Genomic DNA, 20,354 nt, shown 5'->3' with positions numbered 1-20,354 from the left:
CCGAGAACCGGCCGGCCCAGTTGGGCGGGAACACGGCAGCTGGGCGGGGACACGGCAGCTGGGCGGGGACACGGCAGCTGGGCGGGGACACAGCGGCCTTGGGTTTGGGCTCCAGCCCCAGCCGGGCCCCCTCGCGCCGCTGCGGCTGCTGCGCGGTGAGGTCGTGACAAGTCACAGCTAACTTGCCCTCCGCGCCATTCCACGCCACCAGGAAGCGCAGCCGGTGCCTCTCGGCATCGGCGAAGAGGCCTTGCCGGACCGGCGCCCAGCCCTCCAGGCTGTCGAGCTGCTCGTCCTCCATGGCCGTCGGCGGCAGCGGCCCTAGGACTCGGCGGGCGCGGGCCTGACCTCGCCGCACTGCCTGTCAGGGGACAGTCCCAGGTGAAGCATTTTTCGCTCCACTATTGGTATTTTAACAACATGAATGAAAAAAAAAAAAAAAACTCAGCTGTTTTGATAGAAGTAACAAACGTGCTTAGGAATCATCTTCCTTGAAGGGAGAGGAGGGTCTTGTTGAACTTGAAAAAACTAAATAAGCAAAGTTGATACATAAGGACACCCTTCTCTTTACCCTTACCTATTCTTCTCTTAAAACTTTAATTCATTTCTGACAGTCACCAACTGAAAAACGGTCCGACTAAAAAAAAAAAAAAAACTGATCATAAAGGGGGGAGAAGTTGTGACGTGTTCTATCCTAATCCAAGATATCTAAACCAATTTTGCTGATAGAGAAAATATATTCGGTGAATGATGTAAGTACATTAATATAGGTAACAACTCTTTGAAAGTAAAGTTTGCACATAATATGAAATACAAAGAGAATTACTGTAGTCTCGAAGGAGAGAACCCTTGATGGGGAGTGGTAGTCAAAAAGGTGTATGAGCAAGTCATCTGTTGCAAGGTGATGGGAGGAGATTTTTATGCAGGCATTCAATATCAGAGTCAGAGGTTTTAATGATTTTTGTTTTTTATCTTGAGAGTTGGAGACTAGAAGATCTAAAATAGGAAATTTCTGGCATATCCATAGATAGAATGGAAACTCTTGGCCAAAAATAACGTGCTCCAAGTCATGAAAAATAGCACACATGCACAATTAACTACAGAGTTACACAAGATGGTGTCTTTTCATTCGATTTTATTTGAACTCTTATTCTTCTCTTTTATGCTCTGTATCCTTGTTAACTCTTCCATTTTTTCCTCATCCTATGAGGTACTTTAAACATTTTATTCAATAACTCTTAAGGCAATTTTTACAATTCTATTCATATATAAAACTGTCATAAGCATGTTTTGTGAGTGAAAAATTCTAATTTGTAATGCATATCAAGTGAAAAGCCTCAGTTCAGCACTCGTCATATCCAAAAACTGTGTTATATGATAATGTAAAAGAAATATTTTCACACATGTAGCTCAAATGAGATTCTTAGTTACATGTTTCTTTTTTTTCTTTTCTTTTCTTTTCTTTTTTTTTTTTTTGAGACGTAGTCTCGCTCTGTTGCCTAGGCTGGAGTGCAGTGGCGCAATCTCGGCTTACTGCAAGCTCTGCCTCCCGGGTTCATGCCATTCTCCTGCCTCAGCCTCCCAAGTAGCTGGGATTACAGGTGCCCGCCACCACGCCCGGCTAATTTTTTGTATTTTTAGTAGAGACGGGGTTTCACAGTGTTAGCCAGGATGGTCTCTATCTCCTGACCTCGTGATCCGCTCGTCTGGGCCTCCCAAAGTGCCAGGATTACAGGCGTGAGCCACCACGCCCGGCCTACATTTTTCAAAATTTAACTCAATCTTTTATGTTTAAAAATGTGCATATACTGCCTGTTCAAGTACTTAATCTTTGTATTTATTATTTGAAATTGGAAGTCCATCTTTTTAGATTGTTAGGAGGTCTTCACATATTTGAATGAGTTATTAAGTTGATACAACTATTTTGGAAAAATAATTATCATTATCTACTAAATTTAAACACATAATTTATGACCAGCAGTTTCAACAGAGACACCTGGATGTTCATCAGGATAGAATGGATTGGAAAGCTCCATATTCATTCAACAGGGTGCTACACAAAACAAAAAGGAATGAAACACTGGTCCATAACATAAATAGATTTCACAAATGCAATTTTGAGTGAAATAAGCCAGAAAAAAATAAATACCGTATGCTTCCATTTATATGAAGACAAAGATAGGCAATATTAATCTATGGTAACATGTGAGACTGACTGACTTTTCTCAGCATCAGCTAAGAGCCTGAAAAATATTTTTCTGGGGTGCTAAAAAAGTGCCAGATCTTAAAATATTTGTACAAAAGATAATATTTGTTTTTTTATATAAATAGGTACAAAATACAAATATGGGCAAAAATGTATTTATAAATATGTTAAACAAGATTATTTATAGTTTATACTTCAATATAATTTTTTTCACTTTTGTTGACATTAGTAAACCATCACACTTAATAAACAGCCATTTGGAATGGTTCTTGATTTAGGTATTTCCTTGATCAAGTACCAAGTAGGAACATACCTTGATTCTAAAATATAAAGAATATGATTCCATGAAAGTTTCCATGAAAACTATCTTGCATTCTAAAATATTTTTAAAAGTACTTATTTTCAAAGTTCATTTTCCTATTTTAAACAAAAGTTGAACTAAATTACATATAATCTAGTCCCCAAAGTATTCAGTAAATATCAAATGAAGGTGTGAAAGTTAAAGATTTCAATTTTTTACTAGTTAATTTGCAGTGCTCTATTATTTTGCTTAATAAGCAATTTTATGCTAGAAATAAGCAGATTTCTCTATTCACATCATCTTTACCAAGAGCACTTAAATAAATACCATTGATTACTTGCAAAATGCAGATTGTAGATTCAGAGCTCAAAACTAAAGCTCTGAGGATGTAATTCAATTAAAACAACCCATAGTTGTGAATTCACCTCACCAGTGTCCCTAAGACAAGAAGCTCTTTCTCACATCAAAGTGAATTATTTTAATTCACTTTGGATGTTAGGAATATCCTAACTCCTTTGTAATTAAAAACAAAAACAAAACTTCTGATGCTTCTTTATACCTTAACAATTATGAGGTCTATAACAATATGAACACAGAAGTTTGGGTCAGTTCAATGACTGAACTAAAACATTGTTTCCCAACATGTCCATGTTTTACAAGATGATGGGGTTGTTATCTGTGATGCCATTGCAAAGATCTTGATGGTTCCAAAACACTCTAAGCATCACATAAGCCATGTTATACCTGTCGCCCCAAATTTACCAAACCATTTGGATTAAAACTCTCAGTAAGGACCTCTGAGGCACAAAGATCTATGAATAACTCCTTAACCCCTTTGCTCTTACTCTTCAGGTACAATTTCAAATTTTCACTTTTCCCTTTCTGCACTGACCTTGGGAAAGTCACTTTATCTCTGTGATCTAATTTTCCACATCAATAATGTATCTATACTTGGCATAGAGAGTTATGAGAATAAAATAATAACATATATGGGAGATTTCTGTGAATACCAATTGTACAGGTGGATTTTTAAATAATAGATTTAGGGCCAGGCGCAGTAGCTCACAGAAGTAATACCATCACTTTAGGAGGCCGAAGCGGGTGGATCACCTGAGGTCAGGAGTTCAGACCAGCCTGACCAACAAGGTGAAATACTGTCTCTACTAAAAATACGAAAATGAGCCAGGTGTGGTGGCGGGCACCTGTAGTCCCAGCTACTCAGGTGGGTGAGACAGGAGAATTGCTTGAACCCACAAGGCGGAGGGTGCAGTAAGCCGAGATCGCGCCACTGCACTCCAGCCTCGGTGATGAAGCGAGACACCATGTAAAAAACAAACAAACAAACAAATAAAATATATTTAGGAAAATTATTAATAAGAAAAAAATTGAAAGCATTAAGAACTCTATTATGGACTGAACAAAAAAAGGAGAATTGGTACCATACCTTGGTAAGTTTATTTTGATAAGCACAATTTCTATTAGTTCCTCAGTGTTTCTTCTTGCTCCCTGAATGTATGTTCCTTGCCTCTATCTTATCCCATTTTTTCTATTGTTAATGCATAGAGAGTTGTCACAAGTTCTATTCTCAATGCCTATTGCATCAGGCAATAGAAGATGACTCTGGTTCCCAACTCAGAAAAACCTCATTTTTAAGAAATGTTTGAGCTTTGACTTTGATCTCATTCAGAATATTCTGGTTCAAAAGTTTTTTGTTTTTTTTGTTTTTTTTGAGACGGAGTCTCGCTTTGTCGCCCAGGTTGGAGTGCAATGGCGCGATCTCGGCTCACTGCAAGCTCCGCCTCCCGGGTTCACGCCATTCTCCTGCATCAGCCTCCCTAGTAGCTGGGACTACAGGCCCCTGCCACCACGCCTGGCTAATTTTTTTTTTTTTGTATTTTTAGTAGAGACGGGGTTTCACCGTGTTAGCTAGGATGGTCTCAATCTCCTGATCTCGTGATCCGCCCGTCTCGGCCTCCCACAGTGCTGGGATTACAGGCGTGAGCCACCACGCCCGGCACAAAAGTCTTATGTTTGTGTAAATAAGAAAAGCACCTTTGAAAACTACACCTACAAATGGGAATATGGAATAAAAAGGACAAGCCAAAGGTTATGGAACAAAATAAAACATGAAGAAAGAGAAATAGAAACACAATATTACTATATACAATATAGTAATGTATTTTAAAATATGAAAAACGCTAGCAAAACAGCAATATGTGAACAAAAGAATTGGAGTAAAATAATAGAATTTGAAACAGCACAATCTGCTGAAAATACACAAAAGACAAACTAGGATATTTCTGAGCTCACTGTTTATGATATTAGAACATGTATATAAAAAGGAAAAGTGACTTTAAAATGTCTGGGGGCCAAGCAATATATAGCTTGTTACATTTTATTTACAAACAGTTTCTTTGACTAGGGAATCAATTTAAATTTTCTGTTTTGGAAATAATATAAATATATCTTTATTTTAGACTTTTTGCTGAAAAGTTTCTTAAATATTTACAACTTTAGGATAATCAGTGTACATTTCAATATATAATGTCCTAAAAATCAAACAGCTACCAAACATTGAATTGAAGTTCTGACTTATATAAATCATTTGCATAAAAACTGATCATTAAAAACAGTATCTAATGAACATTTTGGCCCCAATATTAATTAAAACTGAAATGATAGCATTACAAGCTAAAGATTAATTTCAATGACATGTCGTTCAACCATTTTGACATAATCGACTTATAATAAGCTAAAATTGACTATTTTTATGACATATTTGACCTAAATGAAGAGAAAAAAGCTTTGACTAATTCTTAATTACTCTTTCTGACCAATTGATGGCCAATAACTGAATTTAATTTCAAACCATTTTCTGTTATTTTAATCTTTTAAACATGTTTTACTTTCAGTGATTCATTTTCTAACATTCATAGCCAAAGCCCAGGCTCTGCCCATCTTTGTCTACCTTAATGACTTTGTCAATTGTTGGTATACACTGGGCCTTAAAAACTTGTGTTTCTTCCGAATTAATTAATGAAGTAGAATTGCTCTTATAGGGTTTCATATACCATTACCTCCAAAAGAGTACATTAGAAGTATTAGAAAATACTGATATTTATAAACAGATATTTATCTTATGATACAAAGAGCTAGAGCTGTTTTATTTTCTGTAAAACTAAGAATAACTTCTTGATAACATAGCTTCACAAAAAGAAAACCCAACACATTTGCATAAATAATTCTCTGAAATAACTATGTGTTTGTAACTTTTTATATACATGAGGATATACATATACTTATACATCTATACATATATATGTAACATAAAGGATATTAACATTAGGACTGTTTAATGTCTATTTGTCTTGGAAAGAAAAATATACTTAAAAATATTTCTCAATTGGGATTTGTAATCGTACCGACTTAATTGATAAACTTGGCGACTGCTTTTATGCTCTGTCTCCTTCCATAAATTTTTTAAAATACTAATTCAACAAAGAAAAAGCTCTAATGTTCATTGGAAATAATTTATAGACTTTTTTAGAGCAGAGAAAAATTAAGAAAAACTTTGAAATGGTCTCAAAAAATTACTATTTTCAGTGGAAAACTAAATGTTAGTTTAACTGATTGTATGGGGTTTCTGAACCTTTCACTTTTTGTTTGTTTTACCTATTTCACAACTGTGTAAATTGCAAATAATTCCTGTCCATGAAAATACAAATTATCCAGTGTAGATATATTTGACTGTCACCCTATAGATATTGGCTAATTTTGCCTTTATTAAGCAAATTCATTTCAGCATGAATGTCTGCCTGTATATTCTCTGCTCTTTGTATTCTCCTTTGAACCAGTCAGAACATCCTGTGGTACTCTTATTTATTAATCAGTTAAATAAAATCATGAACATATATTCATTTTACATTTGTATGAGAACCATTAATTTTCTTTTCTTTAAAAAAATTAATTATCCTTTGACATTGGGTTGACATTTTCTTAAGACTTGCCATAAACAGAGGATATCAAGTTTCTCAAGGTCAGTTCTAGAGGAAAAAAAAATTCTTTATAAAAATTTAGCCTCATGTGTAACAGTTTCCATTCCCATAGCAATGACATTTGATATACATTGTATATATTAATCTGGGAATGATGTAAGATTCCAAGTATAATTTTATCAGTGAACTCAACTACTTGATTACTTTCACTTATTTAAATATCTAGTTCAATGTTGTCCAGTGGCATTGTGGATTTAGGTAATTTTACCAGGCAGCCGTTCAATTTCTGCACTTTCTGTTTGCCCATGCAGAACACAACACATTTTATAAGTCAAAGTATAGGCATCTGGTGGCATAATTTTAATTTGTTATCAAATAAAAGCCTCATCAAATTAGTCTAGAAAATAACTCATTATTTACTTTATTTTAGGACTGTATCACTATGTAATGAGATACAAATACATGTAAGCGTTAAGTGCCTAAGAGGCATCCAGAGAGCCTAAGATGTATGCAGTATGCCTAAGAGGAATGCAGAGAGCCTAAGATGTATGCAGTATGCCTAAGAGGAATGCAGAGAGCTTCATTTTCATTGTCAGCTGCTCAGTTGTTTCTCAGGAAATAAATGTGGCCAACTGACACCATTTAAGAGATATAAAGCAACAAGTTTAGAAAATTCTCATAAATGGGAGTGGCTAATGCATAGACAATAGCATTGACCTTTGATCCATGTATATATATATATTTAGATACATACCTCAAAAACATTTGGGTCAATTTAATTGTGAGTACTATAAACTACAAATGAAAGTAAAAAAGCAAATCTGTTGGTATTTTAGAAGAATGAAAGATTATTAACTCATGGCCTGTATGTATTTGGAATGAGAAGGACATACATAGCTTTCTTTGGATGGGGTGGAATTGAAATTGTGATTTACAGTGACTAAAACCTGACTGCTTTCACATTTTTTTTTCACTGTTGGGGGTGAAATTCTTGATTGATTCATGCATTGGGAACTTTTTTTTTTTTTTTTTGAGACGGAGTCTCGCTCTGTAGCCCAGGCTGGAGTGCAGTGTCAGGATCTCGGCTCACTGCAAACTCCACCTTCTGGGTTCACACCATCCTCCTGCCTCAGCCTCCCAAGTAGCTGGGACTACAGGCGGGCACCACCACGCCTGGCAAATTTTTTGTATTTTTAGTAGAGACGGGGTTTCACTGTGTTAGCCAGGATGGGCAGGATGGTCTCGACCTCCTGACCCTGTGATTCACCTGCCTTGGCCTTCCAAAGTGCTGGGATTGCAGGTGTGCACCCGCCTGAGCCACTGCGCCTGGCCGGGAGCTTTTGAATTAACTAAGGAAATTGACAAAATAGAGAATGACTCCTTATGTGACCTGCAGAAAATATTTTGTGTCATTCGTGGTACATTTATCATATTTTCTATAGGTTTGTACTATGTTACTTCACTTCTAAGAATTCGAAGTAGTTCAAAGCCAGCAGGGACTGGTATATTATAGCATATTTAACCTAAGCAACTCTAAAAGCTAACGAAACCAAGTATCTACAAACTTTAGCCATAGCTACCATCAACATGAAGAATGTAATAGGCAAAATGTTTTACATGCTGAATAAGCACTACTGAATTCTCTATATATTTTTTGCAGTTTTAATTTAAAAGTATACTAGTTAGATATTTCATCTATACCCTGGTATAGTAATAAAAATTCAGATATTGCTCAACGAGGAAGCATATTTTCAAAGCAACAGACCTGAAAACTAGTATTTTATTTGATATTTTAAGTGCTTATTTCATTTTCTGGTTAAAGATGTTTGTGGAGGTAAAATTTAAAATAGATACTCTGTGTTCTTCTATTATATAACATTGAAATTAAATTTTTTATTAGTAAATGTAGAAAAGGTAAGTCTGAAGCATTGACTGAGAAAGATTTAGTAAATGGAGAATTTTGACTGTTAAACATCCTATTTTAACAAAAATATGCATAAAATATTCTTAGGATGATTTAATTAACCTTTTAATAAATACGAAAGACATTATGAAAAAAAGAATACATCACATTGCAGAATCAAAAGTAATAAAAATCACTCAAATTCTACTGCTCAGAAATGAAAATAATTGCTAAACATTAGGTGGCAGTATTTCAGACATTCCTATATAAATATACTTGAATGAGGCCCAGAGCAGTGGCTCACGCCTGTAATCCCAGCACTTTTGGAGGCCAGATAATGGCATGAACCCCGGAAGCGGAGCCTGCAGTGAGCGGAGATCACGCCACTGCACTCCATCCTGGGCGAAAGAGCAAGACTCCGTCTCAAAATAAAAATAAAAATAAATAAATAAATAAATAAATACACGCATTCTTCATTTATAAAATACATTTAATATTTTTAAATAAATAAGTCAAAACAAAACGTTGATAAAATGACTATAGTTATTTGTGTGAATATATGCATGTGTGTTTGTACAGATGCATTAAGAAATCTTAATCCTCAAAATGATGAACATTTTAGAAGAAATATTAAGTATAATAGAGTTTGGGATCTGTATCTTTCTTTCTTTCTTTTTCTTTTTTTTTGAGACGGAGTCTCGCTCTGTCGCCCAGGCTGGAGTGCAGTGGCACGATGTCAGCTCAACTGCACGCTTCGCCTCTCAGGTTCATGCCATTCTCCTGCCTCAGCCTGCCGGGTAGCTGGGACTACAGGCGCCCGCCACCACGCCCTGCTGATTTTTCGTATTTTTAGTAGACACGGGGTTTCACCGTGTTAGCCAGGATGGTCTTGATCTCCTGACCTCGTGTTCCGCCCGCCTCGGCCTCCCAGAGTGCTGGGATTACAGGCTGAGCCACTGCGCCCTGCCCTGGGATCTGTATTTTTCTAAGTAGGTGATTCTGTATCTAATGAAAAATTATCACTTAAAATTTCAAAATGTTTTAGTTTGTTGTTATTATTATTATTTGTATTACTTTTAAAGCTGGGGTCTTCTTATGGTGCCCAGGCTAATCTTGTTAATATTTTTATATTATCATTGTATCTTAGGCCGCTCAAGCTGCCATAACAGAATACCAGAGACTGGTGTCTTCAACACACATTTGTTTCTCACAGTTTTGGAGGCTGGGAAATCCTCCACAAGGTTCGGGCAGATTCAGTCCCTGGTGAAAGCCCCCTTCCTAGACTACAGGCTCCTGCCTTCTGACAATGTCTTCACATGGCACAAAATAGAGAAAGACAGAGAGCTATGGTCTCACTTTCTCTTCCTATAAGAACACTAATCCCATCATGGAGATGCACATGATCTTAACCAGACAAATTTCTTTTGGATATTTTGAACTGATCAAATAACTCACATTGATTCAAAATATCACAGTTATTAAAACTCAGGCACAAAATCAAGTTAGTTCATCACTAATTGAGGCAGATAATTTTAAATCAAAATATAGCTACACAAAACATCATTTCCTAATTATCTTAGACTTTAAAAGTAGTTAGAGGAAGAGAAAGCTCATCTCTCTATTACAGTATTAATGGGTTTCCCATCCTAGGTGTCTTAATCTATTTAAACAGCTATAACAAAATACCATAAATTGGTGGATTATAGGCAATAGAAATTTGTTGTTCACAGTTCTAGAGGGCAGGAAGTCCTAGATCAAAGTGCCGTAAGAGTTGGTGAGGACCTGCTTCTTGATTCATGAATTGCCATCTCTTCCCTGCATCCTCACTTGGTGAAAGGGGCAAGAGTCTCTCCGGGGACTCTTTTATAAGTGCACTAATCCCATTCATGAGGGCTCTACCGTCATGATCTAATCCCCTCCCTCTAAGGTCCCACCTGCAAATATCATCATATGGGTGTTACATTTCAACAGCTGAATTTTGGGGGGCACTATCATTCAGTCTACAGCACTGTGAAATCCCTAATATCGAGTTTTCTTTTTAATTTTTGTTTTGTTTTGTTTTGAGACAGAGTCTCGCTTTCTCGCCCAGGCTGGAGTGCAGTGGTACGATGTCCGCTCACTGCAAGCTCTGCCTCCCGGGTTCACGCCATTCTCCTGCCTCAGCCTCCCGGGTAGCTGGGACTACTGGCGCCCGCCACTACGCCCGGCTAAAATTTTTTGTATTTTTAGTAGAGATCACCGCACCTGGCCCTTAGATGAATATTTGAATAAAAGTTGTATGTATGATGATAAAACAACAAGAAACTGAATTTTTGCAGAAAGTAAAAATAAAACTTGTCACTCTTTATATAGGCAAATCAGAGACTAGAGGTTTTAGAAAAGACATCAGTATGTTCCATATAAAGTATGTACTGGGACCCCGTCCGTCTTTTTCACCATATAATAACAGTGCTTTTAATAGTACCTGGGATGGCTGGGTGCAGTGGCTTACGCCGTAATCCTAGCACTTTGGAAGGCCGAGGAGGGAGGATCATGAGGTCAGGAGATCGAAAACATCCTGGCTAATACGGTGAAACTCCGTCTCTACTAAAAATAACAAAAAAATTAGCCGGGCGTTGTGGCGGGCGCCTGTAGTCCCAGCTACTCTGGAGGCTGAGGCCGGAGAAAGGCGTGAACCCGGGAGGCGGAGCTTGCAGTGAGCGGACATCGTGCCACTGCACTCCAGCCAGGGCGACAGAGTGAGACTCCATCTCAAAAAAAAAAAAAAAAAAAGTACCTGGGACATGATATGAACTCAATGACTATTTATTGAATGAATTAATTGAACAAGTTTATGCAAGAAATTGACATAAAATTAAACATTGTCTTCTTATATCATATAGTGTCTACAAAAACTAAGTTGATACAGAACCTGTATTCTAACATGATTAAATTTGAGCCAAGTACATTTCTCTCTTAAGAATTTAGAAGTTTATAAAGAAATCAGGGCCTGGGAACTGAATCATTAATGGAAGATCTCAAAGGCAATATTCTTTTCATTGTAATTAATATTAAGTTGTTAAAGTAATAATAAATAACTAACATTTAGGTTCCTGAAAAAAATGATTAAATTGAACATCAAATAGTTTGCATTTATATCACACTGTACAATTTATATTTTTTATGCTGCTTTACTGTAAGATTTCATTGAACAAATGCATCTTATGATTTCAAGGTAAGGTATTGAAATATGCCTTTTAAAAATGTAATGCTGTATTAGTGATTTTAAAATATGTAAAAAAAATGTGTGGGAAATACTAGAAACGTTATTTGAAATTAGCCAGTTCTGGATTTGCTTATTTTTTTAATTTTATTTGCCAAACTGAGAACAATAGCCTTTACACATTTTCTATTTTTCTGGACTTGATTCTTAGGAACTTTAATTTTGCACTTTTGCATTCCTCTATAAATGTTAATGTTTTGGCCAATGACATTTCTCTAGATAAATTCAAAAGCTTAACCTAAGTAATGTAATGGTGGCATTTATGAAATTGACTCCTGGTTCTCTCTTTAAATTCTTTTTTATTGTTTATTTCTATGGCACCATTACACTATGCTATCACATTGTTCTTGTTTTATTCCCCATGTTTAAAAAGCTGTATATTCTTTGCTGAATCTTAAAGGTCACTTTGAAACCTGAAGACCATGACTGAAATACAGTGAAGATTAAAGATAAAAAGGAGAAAAAAGGTTAAATTATAAAACCTCTAATATCATTACTCATATATATGATACACACAGAGATGCATCACCTAGGTCCTCCCTGAGAGCTGTGTCAGTAGACAGGACTCAGCTGTGAGCCCCTTCAGACGTCACCTCAGCTGCAGAGCTTCCCCCTGCCTAAGGTCCTGAGGTTCCCAGTTGTGGTGCATATGCAACGACTGATTGAGGTGAGGCAAGGAGGCAGGTGAAAGAGGTGGGGAGGGGACTTGGGGCCTATAAAGACTCAGTCATGTCATTGCAATGTGAAAGGATGCCAGTGGGCCATTTTATCTTCAAAGTCCCCTGTGAGATGAGCCAAAGCTGTGGTCCAGGACTTCTTTTCAGCCCAGCTTTTTCCCTTTCCCTCAATCCAGCTTCCTTCTTCTCCTTTTCACAGGTAGTAATCCAAGGGCACTCCCTAGTATATATCTCCATGTCCAAATCTGCTTACTAGAGAACATTGTATCATGAATGATACCATTCTTCAAAAATATGGGGTACTTTGAGTGAAAGGAGTGAACGGTATGGAAGAACAGCTTTGGTAGAGTAATTAGAATAGAAGCTACTCTACATTGGGTTGATGCATGAATGGGATATTAGGAAGTAAAGTAGCAAATTGAAAACTCCTTTCAAAAGAAGAGAATTAGAAAAGGGTCAGCAAGATAGTAGTTGGGGCCTGGCTGTGATGGATCACGCCTGTAATCCCAGCACTTGGGGAGGCTAAGATGGGAGGATCACTTGAGGTCAGGATTTCAAGACCAGCCTGGTCAATGTAGCGAGACCCCACCTCTTTAAAAAAAAATGTAGTTGGAAGCTAGAGAATAGCATAACAAAAAAGAGGGTGATTTTAGAAGATAAAAGGGCCCACTGGAGCTCTCTCACATTGGAATGAAATTCTGAAATTACCCTCTTTTTGGTTATGTCATTCTACCTCAATCATTTTGCCTCAATCATGTTTACAGGCAAAATAAGAGATAGAGAAGTGGGAAGGGCTGAAGGCAGAGATATGAGACACAATAACAAATGGGGAAAGATACAAGATATAATGGAAGGCATGAGCTAGATCAATTCTACAAGTGAAAAATTACATTAATTAAGAGGAAGGATCACTCATCACCCAATTATAGGTAAGTTTATAGGAGGGTGGGACTGGCTACATAATGGTAGGTGATACTTTATGTCCTTATTTTCATTAAAGAGAATATGTCATTTCCTGAAAATGAAAGATGTGGGTTTGAATAGAGAGTTGGCAAAATTTGGTATTTATTTGAAATTGGCATTTATTTGGGAAGATAATGTAGGGTAACCAATCCACTTAGATGATAGTTATTAACTATAAACTATGTACCAGGTACTTTGCTATAATATAAAGGCAATGGAAAAACCAAGATTCAATCTTGATTTGACATCCTTAACATTTACAGTGTCGTGGTGGAAACTATGTAAAGAATCCAGTGTGATAGAAGGTGGTAGATGTGGAAACAGGAGGTTTAGAAAAAGCTCCAGGACACACTGCTGATACATCTAACTCAGGATCAGGGCATTAAAGAAAGCATCACACTCTCCCTCAATCTCTCTATTCTGTCTCTTGATTGAATCATTTTAACAAAGTATCAAGATGGCCCTCAGCACTAAGGAGGAAGTGTTATTTGAAAGCATGTGTTTGAATAGTTGCATTTATCTAAACAGAATTTTTCACTCCTGTGTAGATTTGGCTTGGAATTGGTGTATTCTGGCATTCCATGTTGTAAAGCACTTGAGGTGCTTAAGAGATATTTGGTTGGCGGGGTGCAGTGGCTCACACCTGTAATACCAGCACTTTAGAAGGCCGAGGTGGTTGGATCACCTGAGGTCAGGAGTTCGAGACCAGCCTGGCCAACATGGTGAAACCCCGTCTCTACTAAAAATACACAACTTAGCTGGGCGTGTTGGCAGGTGCCTGTAATCCCAGCTACTCGGGAGGCTGAGGCGGGATAATTGCTTGAACCTGGGAGGCAGAGGTTGCAGTGAGCCAAGATTGCACCACTGCATTCCAGCCTAGGGAACAGAACAAGACTCTATCTCAAAAGAAAAAAATAAAAAAAGAAGGAGAGATATTTGGTAAATAACTGAGGCAAAGGTGGAAGAAAATAGTGTTCTGCAGGAGATCAAATAATGTGTGAAGAGAAAATAAAAATTTTAAAGAACTAAAAGAATCAGGTATTGAAGTCAAAGGTGAGAGGGCCACTGGAATTCAAAAATACAATGTGAATAACTACAGAAGATATCATCATTCCTGATGAGGCAATGAATGTGGGTGCCTAAATTAGAGTAGAAATACATGTTATTGAAGATAAGGAGATCAAAAGGTGTAAGGCCAGGGTGTTGAATGTATTTTGCACAAATGCGCTAACGTTACCCAGAGTGTTGGCAAGGGGAAAATCATCTGATGGCCTGTAGCCAGAGTTTTCCTTAAAAATGCAGATGTGTCCTCCTGGAAGATAGACATCTTTGAAAAAATGAAGGAAATTAGGGTCTCACGGCATGAATCTCATGGAGGTGATGAAGGACTGATTTGAGAGCAGCCATGCAGAGTTAGGACAATGCCAGCAACATCTGACCCATGTACATGAAGCTCCAGATAACTTAGGTGATTGCTTTAATGCAAAAGGCCACACAGTGTGAATTCCTGAGAGACTATTTATCTTTTATATTCCAGAGGTTGGAATGGAATAATTCACTCTTTTAAAAGGCTTGCTGGATATCCTCTATTTCAGGGCTCTCCAAACCCATACTAGTCCATAGCTGTTAGGAACTGGGCTCCACAGCAGGAGGTGAGTGGCGGCTGAGTGAGCGAAGCTTCATCTGTATTTACAGCTGCTCCTCATGGCTCGTGTTACCCCCTGAGCTCCTCCTCCTGTCAGATCAGCAGCAGCATTAGATTCTCATAGGAGCATGAACCCTATTGTGAACTAAGCATGCAAGGGATCTAGGCTGTGTGCTCCTTATGAGAATCTAATGACCGATGATCTGTCACTGTCTCCCATTGCCCCCAGGTGGGAACATCTAGTTGCAGGAAAACAAGCTCAGGGCTCCCAGGGATTCTACATTATGGTCAGTCGTATAACTATTTCATTATATGTTACAAAGTAATAATAATAGAAATAAAGTGCACAATAAATGTAATGGGCTTGAATCATTCTGAAACCATCCCCACCACCACCATGTCTGTGAAAAAAATTGTCTTCCACAAAACCAGTCCTTGATGCCAAAAAGGTTGGGGACCACTGCTCTATTTCTCTTCACTACTTAGAGAATCTGTTCTTCCACTCATGATCTACAAGGATTAAATGTTTCAAACAGTTCAAGTCTTCAAAATATGTATTTTGTAAACTTGAATTTTTAGAAATCATTCACAGTATCCATATTATATTTTATTTGCTGCAATGCCCTATACATTTTCCATATAATGCTCTTGAATATACTTTTACAACTTCAGTAACTTTACCCTTTACTGAATCTCAATCTGTCTCTCCATTTCTCTCTCTCAGCAAATCTAAACAAAAGAGAAACATGTCGACTTGTGCTATGGTCTAAATGTTTGTGTCTCTAAAATTCATGTGTTGAAACTTAATCTCCAATGCAATAGTATTAAGAGATGAAGGCTTTAGAATGTGACTGGCAGAGCCCTCATGAATGGGATTGGTGCCTTTATAAAAGAGGCCTCCAAAATCTCCCTAGCCCCTTCCACCAAGTAAGGAAGCACAGAAGTCACCATCTATGAAGTAGAGAGCAAGCTCTCGCCAGACACCAAATCTGCTGACACTTCAGTCTTAAACTCCCACCCTCCAGAACTGTGAGCAATAAATTTCTGTTTTATAGTTGTCTAAATTATCCTGTCTAAGGTGTTTTTTTATAGTAATGTGAATGGACTAAGACAACTTGAAAATGCAAGGTACCACACCAATAACAAGGAAAATACTCATGTTTTGTAACATTTATTTTATACCAAAGATACGCCAATTACTGTATACAAATATATGCCAAATGTTGGGTAAAATACTTTACATAAATTATATTAATCCTGACAACAACCTGAAGGTAGATACTGTTGTCTGCATTTAAAGATGAGGACGTGGGGCTTGAATTAAGTAACTTAACTCACATCTCATCATGCTAAATGGCAAAGCTGGGATTCAAACCCTGCTCAGTCGGACTCCCATCAGGCTGCTCTTAGCCTGGTTATATTTTGAAGAAAAGAAGTTCAGAAACTTATCCATAGACATGGCCAGGTAGGGCCAGAGTCCAGACTCAACTGACTGTCAGCCAAGGCCAGCCTCAACTCTTCCATTTTACCTCCAGCCTGAACAGCTTAAACATTTTTTCTCTTGCCATCTTATTAGAGTACATAATGCCTATAATGATGGGATCCACATGATATAGCATGACAACACTCTGTTTTAAAAAAGGTGAAATGTAATTTTTTTTAAAAAAATTTTAAGTTCTGGGATACATGTGCAGGACGTGCAGGTTTGTTACATAGGTAAACGTGTGTCATGGTGGTTTGCTACCCCTATCAACCTATCACCTAGGTTTTAAGGCCCCCATGCACTAGCTATTTATCCTGATGCTCTCCTTCCCCCCAACCCCCCAGTAGGTCCCAGTGTGTTTTGTTCCCCTCCCTGTGTGCTTGTGTTCTCATTATTCAGCTTCCACTTAGAAGTGAGAACATGCGGTGTTTGGTTTTCTGTTCCTGTGTTAGTTTGCTAAGGACAGTGGCTTCCAGCTCCATCTATGTCCCTGCAAAGGACATGATCTTGTTCCTTTCTATGACCGCATAGTATTCCATGGTGTATAGGTACCACATTTTCTTTTTCTAGTCTATCATTGATGGGCATTTGGGTTGATTCCATGTCTGTGCTATTGTGAATAGTGAAGCAAAAAACAGACGCGATAGGAATGCTTTTACACTGTTGGTGGGAATGTAAATTAGTTCAACCATTGTGGAAGACAGTGTGGCAATTCCTAAAAGACCTAGAACCAGAATTGCCATTTCACCCAGCAATCTCATTCCTGGGTATATACTCATAGGAATATAAATCATTCTATTATAATGAAACATAATGTAAAAATACCTCGAGTGTATTTGTATTTTGGTAATATCTGAATAAGACATAAAATATAACGCACACATCTTTATATCGTTTTATCCATATCTCTCTTTCTTTAAATCCTTCTGGTTAAAATTTGTCATTGCCTCCTGACTATGTATTTATTTTTTCTTTTCTGGAAGAAAGCTCACCTAGGCCTTACTCAAATGCATGTTCTCAATCTTTACCTACCACCCCTCCTGCCTTTTTGTTCCAGTTTCCTCTTATCATTGTACTGATGTGGAGATAACGAAAGAGAATATCACTGTCAGCCACCAGCAGTGCCTTTTCAGAGAAGAGCAATGGGGAAGAAATTGAGCAGACAAAGCCAGAATCCCCATTAGCAAACAGAAAGAGGGAGCTCAGGATAACCACATACGTTAATAATTCTTGCCCCCCAAAGGGAAGCTCTGTAAAATAAGTTGTATTACATCCGTACATAGCAGTACTTTAAATATAACTCTAGCTTAAGTATTTTAAGCATCTCCATGATATGAACCTAAGGGAATAAACTCAATAAATCAATATTTATAAGCTCTGTTCACTTATTTCTTGTGGTTTCAGCCACTGATTTCAGAATATGCATGAAAAATATATTTCTTCTGAATATTTGATTTCATGATCCCAAGTAGACACATCTCTGTATTGGGTTTCAACAAGTCCACAGAAGTTAAATACCCACTTTTAGCCAGCTTTGATTTTCAGAAGTTTAATTCTGACATTTAGTGATATACAATATGTAAAACAACCTGGCACTATATCTGTCATATCATAAGTACTTGGCAAATATTTCAGTTTACTCTTTCTCATAATTGAATAATGGCTCAATAGTAAAACTCTGTAGGGAAAAATTTAACCTTTTATTTATCAGTTACAAATAGTTTAAGACAGATAATACCCCTTTCCTTGTTAGCTTTAATGATGAGTCATTAAAATTGTGAGCAATGTATTTATTTTGAGGAAACTATTTTTTACTAAGGATTTTTTTTTTTTTAGAATTTTATGAGTCTTCAAAATAACTAGAAAATCTTAAAGTGTTACCAAACAGAAGTGGACATTTAATAAACACCTCAACTTTAATACTTACAGAAAATCATTTGAAGGCTGTCACTCCTCTGGGTATTATAAATTTTAGCCTCGGTCAAATCAGATCACCAGGAGGCTACAAAGTTGAACTATATTGCCTTAGTTTCCAACAGAGTTTCTTTCCTTGAATTAAGTTTTGGGGCCATGACCTACTCCTTTTAATAAAAGAACAATACAACAAATAGTCATATGAAATCCATTTTGTTGCCTAATACAAAAATATTGTTGAAGAGTATCATAATTCAATGGCCCATATATATAAAATGTCTCAGCAAAGGCACTTATGTCATAATTCAGTACTAGGAAATGATTTCCTTCAGGCAAGCTCCCCCTTAATTTTTTTTTTTTTTTTTTGAGACAGAGTCTTGCTCTGTTGCCCAGGCTGGAGTGCAGTGGCACCACCCTGGCTCACTGCAAGCTCCACCACCTGGGTTCACGCCTTTGTCCTGCCTCAGTCTCCTGAGTAGCTGGGACTACAGGCTCCTGCCACCACGCCCGGCTAATTTTTTGTATTTTTAGTAGAGACAGGGTTTCACCGTGTAAGCCAGGATGGTCTCGATCTCCTGACCTCGTGATCCGCCCGCCTTGGCCTCCCAGAGTGCTGGGATTACAGGCATGAGTCACCGCACCCGGCCCCTCCCCATTAATTAAGGTGAGAAATACATAAATGATGATGGTAGTCATTGACGCACCAGTTACGAAAGAGTGAGGCTGGGTAACTGGATGACACCTGCACAGGGCTCTGAGGTCTCAAGGAAAATGACAGGTGTTTGTGTATTTCAAAAATGTGGACATGATGGCATGAGGCCCAGTGAAGAAGGGGTAGATTATGAATGGTGTTATCCTGAACATAAGGAGACTGAGATAGTGTAGTTTTAAAAATGGCAGCATGAAAAAAGGTGAATGCTAACCCCACCCCACCTTACGGTAAGTGTCTGAAAAATAATCTTTCCAGGTACTACTAGTAGGTATTCTTAAAGGACAGAGGCAGCTTTCTGTTTGAGTAGGAAGGTATTGGAAGCAGTATATGAAGGAATAAAAATATAAAAGAGAGAAATATTGGAGCAAGAGTGGGAAGTATGGTTAAAGATAAAGAAATGGCAGAGCACTTTAGGGAAATATGGTGTGAGACAGAAAAGAGGCATTTTTGAGTGATGAAAATACTAATCATGGCTAACACTTACATAGCATTTATCGTATGTCAAGCATTTACGTGTATTAACTGTTATGATGCTCACATTAACCCCAGGAGGTCAGGCCTATCACTTTACAGGAAGTTTAAGCAACTTCTGAAATATTAACAATTCTTCTGAATTGCTTCTCTGGTGACAGGAATAAGAGTCGCAGTAGCATCAACTTGCTAAAAAGTTTAAAATGGTGCTCAGAATAAAGGTATTTTACTGCTTTTTGAGACTCATTGTAAAATGGCTTGAAATGTCTTTGCCCTGAATCTCTGCCAGTGGGAAATTGGATGAGTTGCTAAAGAATGTGGAATTAATTATCCAAAAACACTTTAGATATTTCTCTTTGTATAGGGTATTGTAAATGGTCTTTAGCTAATTATAATTTAATATCTCACTTGTCTCTCTCATACATAGGTATATATGTTATATACACATGTGTATGTGTACAATTCAATACATCTATGTGTCTATGTAGCTACCTATGTATGCATGTATGTATGTATGTATCTGCCTATCTATTAATCTATCTCTGTGTATCTACCTACCTATCTATATCTGTGTCTATCAACTTCAGGAATGCTTGGCATTCTTCTAACATCTGCGGGGTATTTAGGGATTAGGCTATGATGATAGATTTCCAGCTTCATTTCTTTTTAAAATCTTTTATTCTTCTTGCTCATTTTCCTTTTCCTGTCCCTAAAGGACAGTTTCTCCTCAGTTTAGGACTTCTTCCTTTTGCTCTCTTATCATTTGCAGACTTTCCGTTCTCAGCCAGAACCTCCCTTTTGTGCACTGTACAACCTGTTGAC

General features: G+C 37.5%; 1 long non-coding RNA gene across 1 annotated transcript in view; it reads left to right on the top strand.

Moving 5' to 3' along the window:
- The first annotated feature begins 70 nt into the window (after positions 1 to 70).
- Positions 71 to 20,354, top strand: part of LOC105376704 (uncharacterized) — a 51,865-nt gene continuing 31,581 nt past the window's right edge. Inside the window, exon 1 of the long non-coding RNA XR_932048.3 lies at positions 71 to 381. This is a non-coding gene — a long non-coding RNA (uncharacterized LOC105376704). The remainder of the gene's footprint in view (positions 382 to 20,354) is intronic.

The sequence above is a fragment of the Homo sapiens genome, chromosome 15, assembly GCF_000001405.40.
Source record: "Homo sapiens chromosome 15, GRCh38.p14 Primary Assembly".
NCBI lineage: Eukaryota > Metazoa > Chordata > Mammalia > Primates > Hominidae > Homo > Homo sapiens.
The sequence above is the reverse complement of the archived record's forward strand: the minus strand, read 5'-3'. Positions and strand labels throughout refer to the sequence as shown.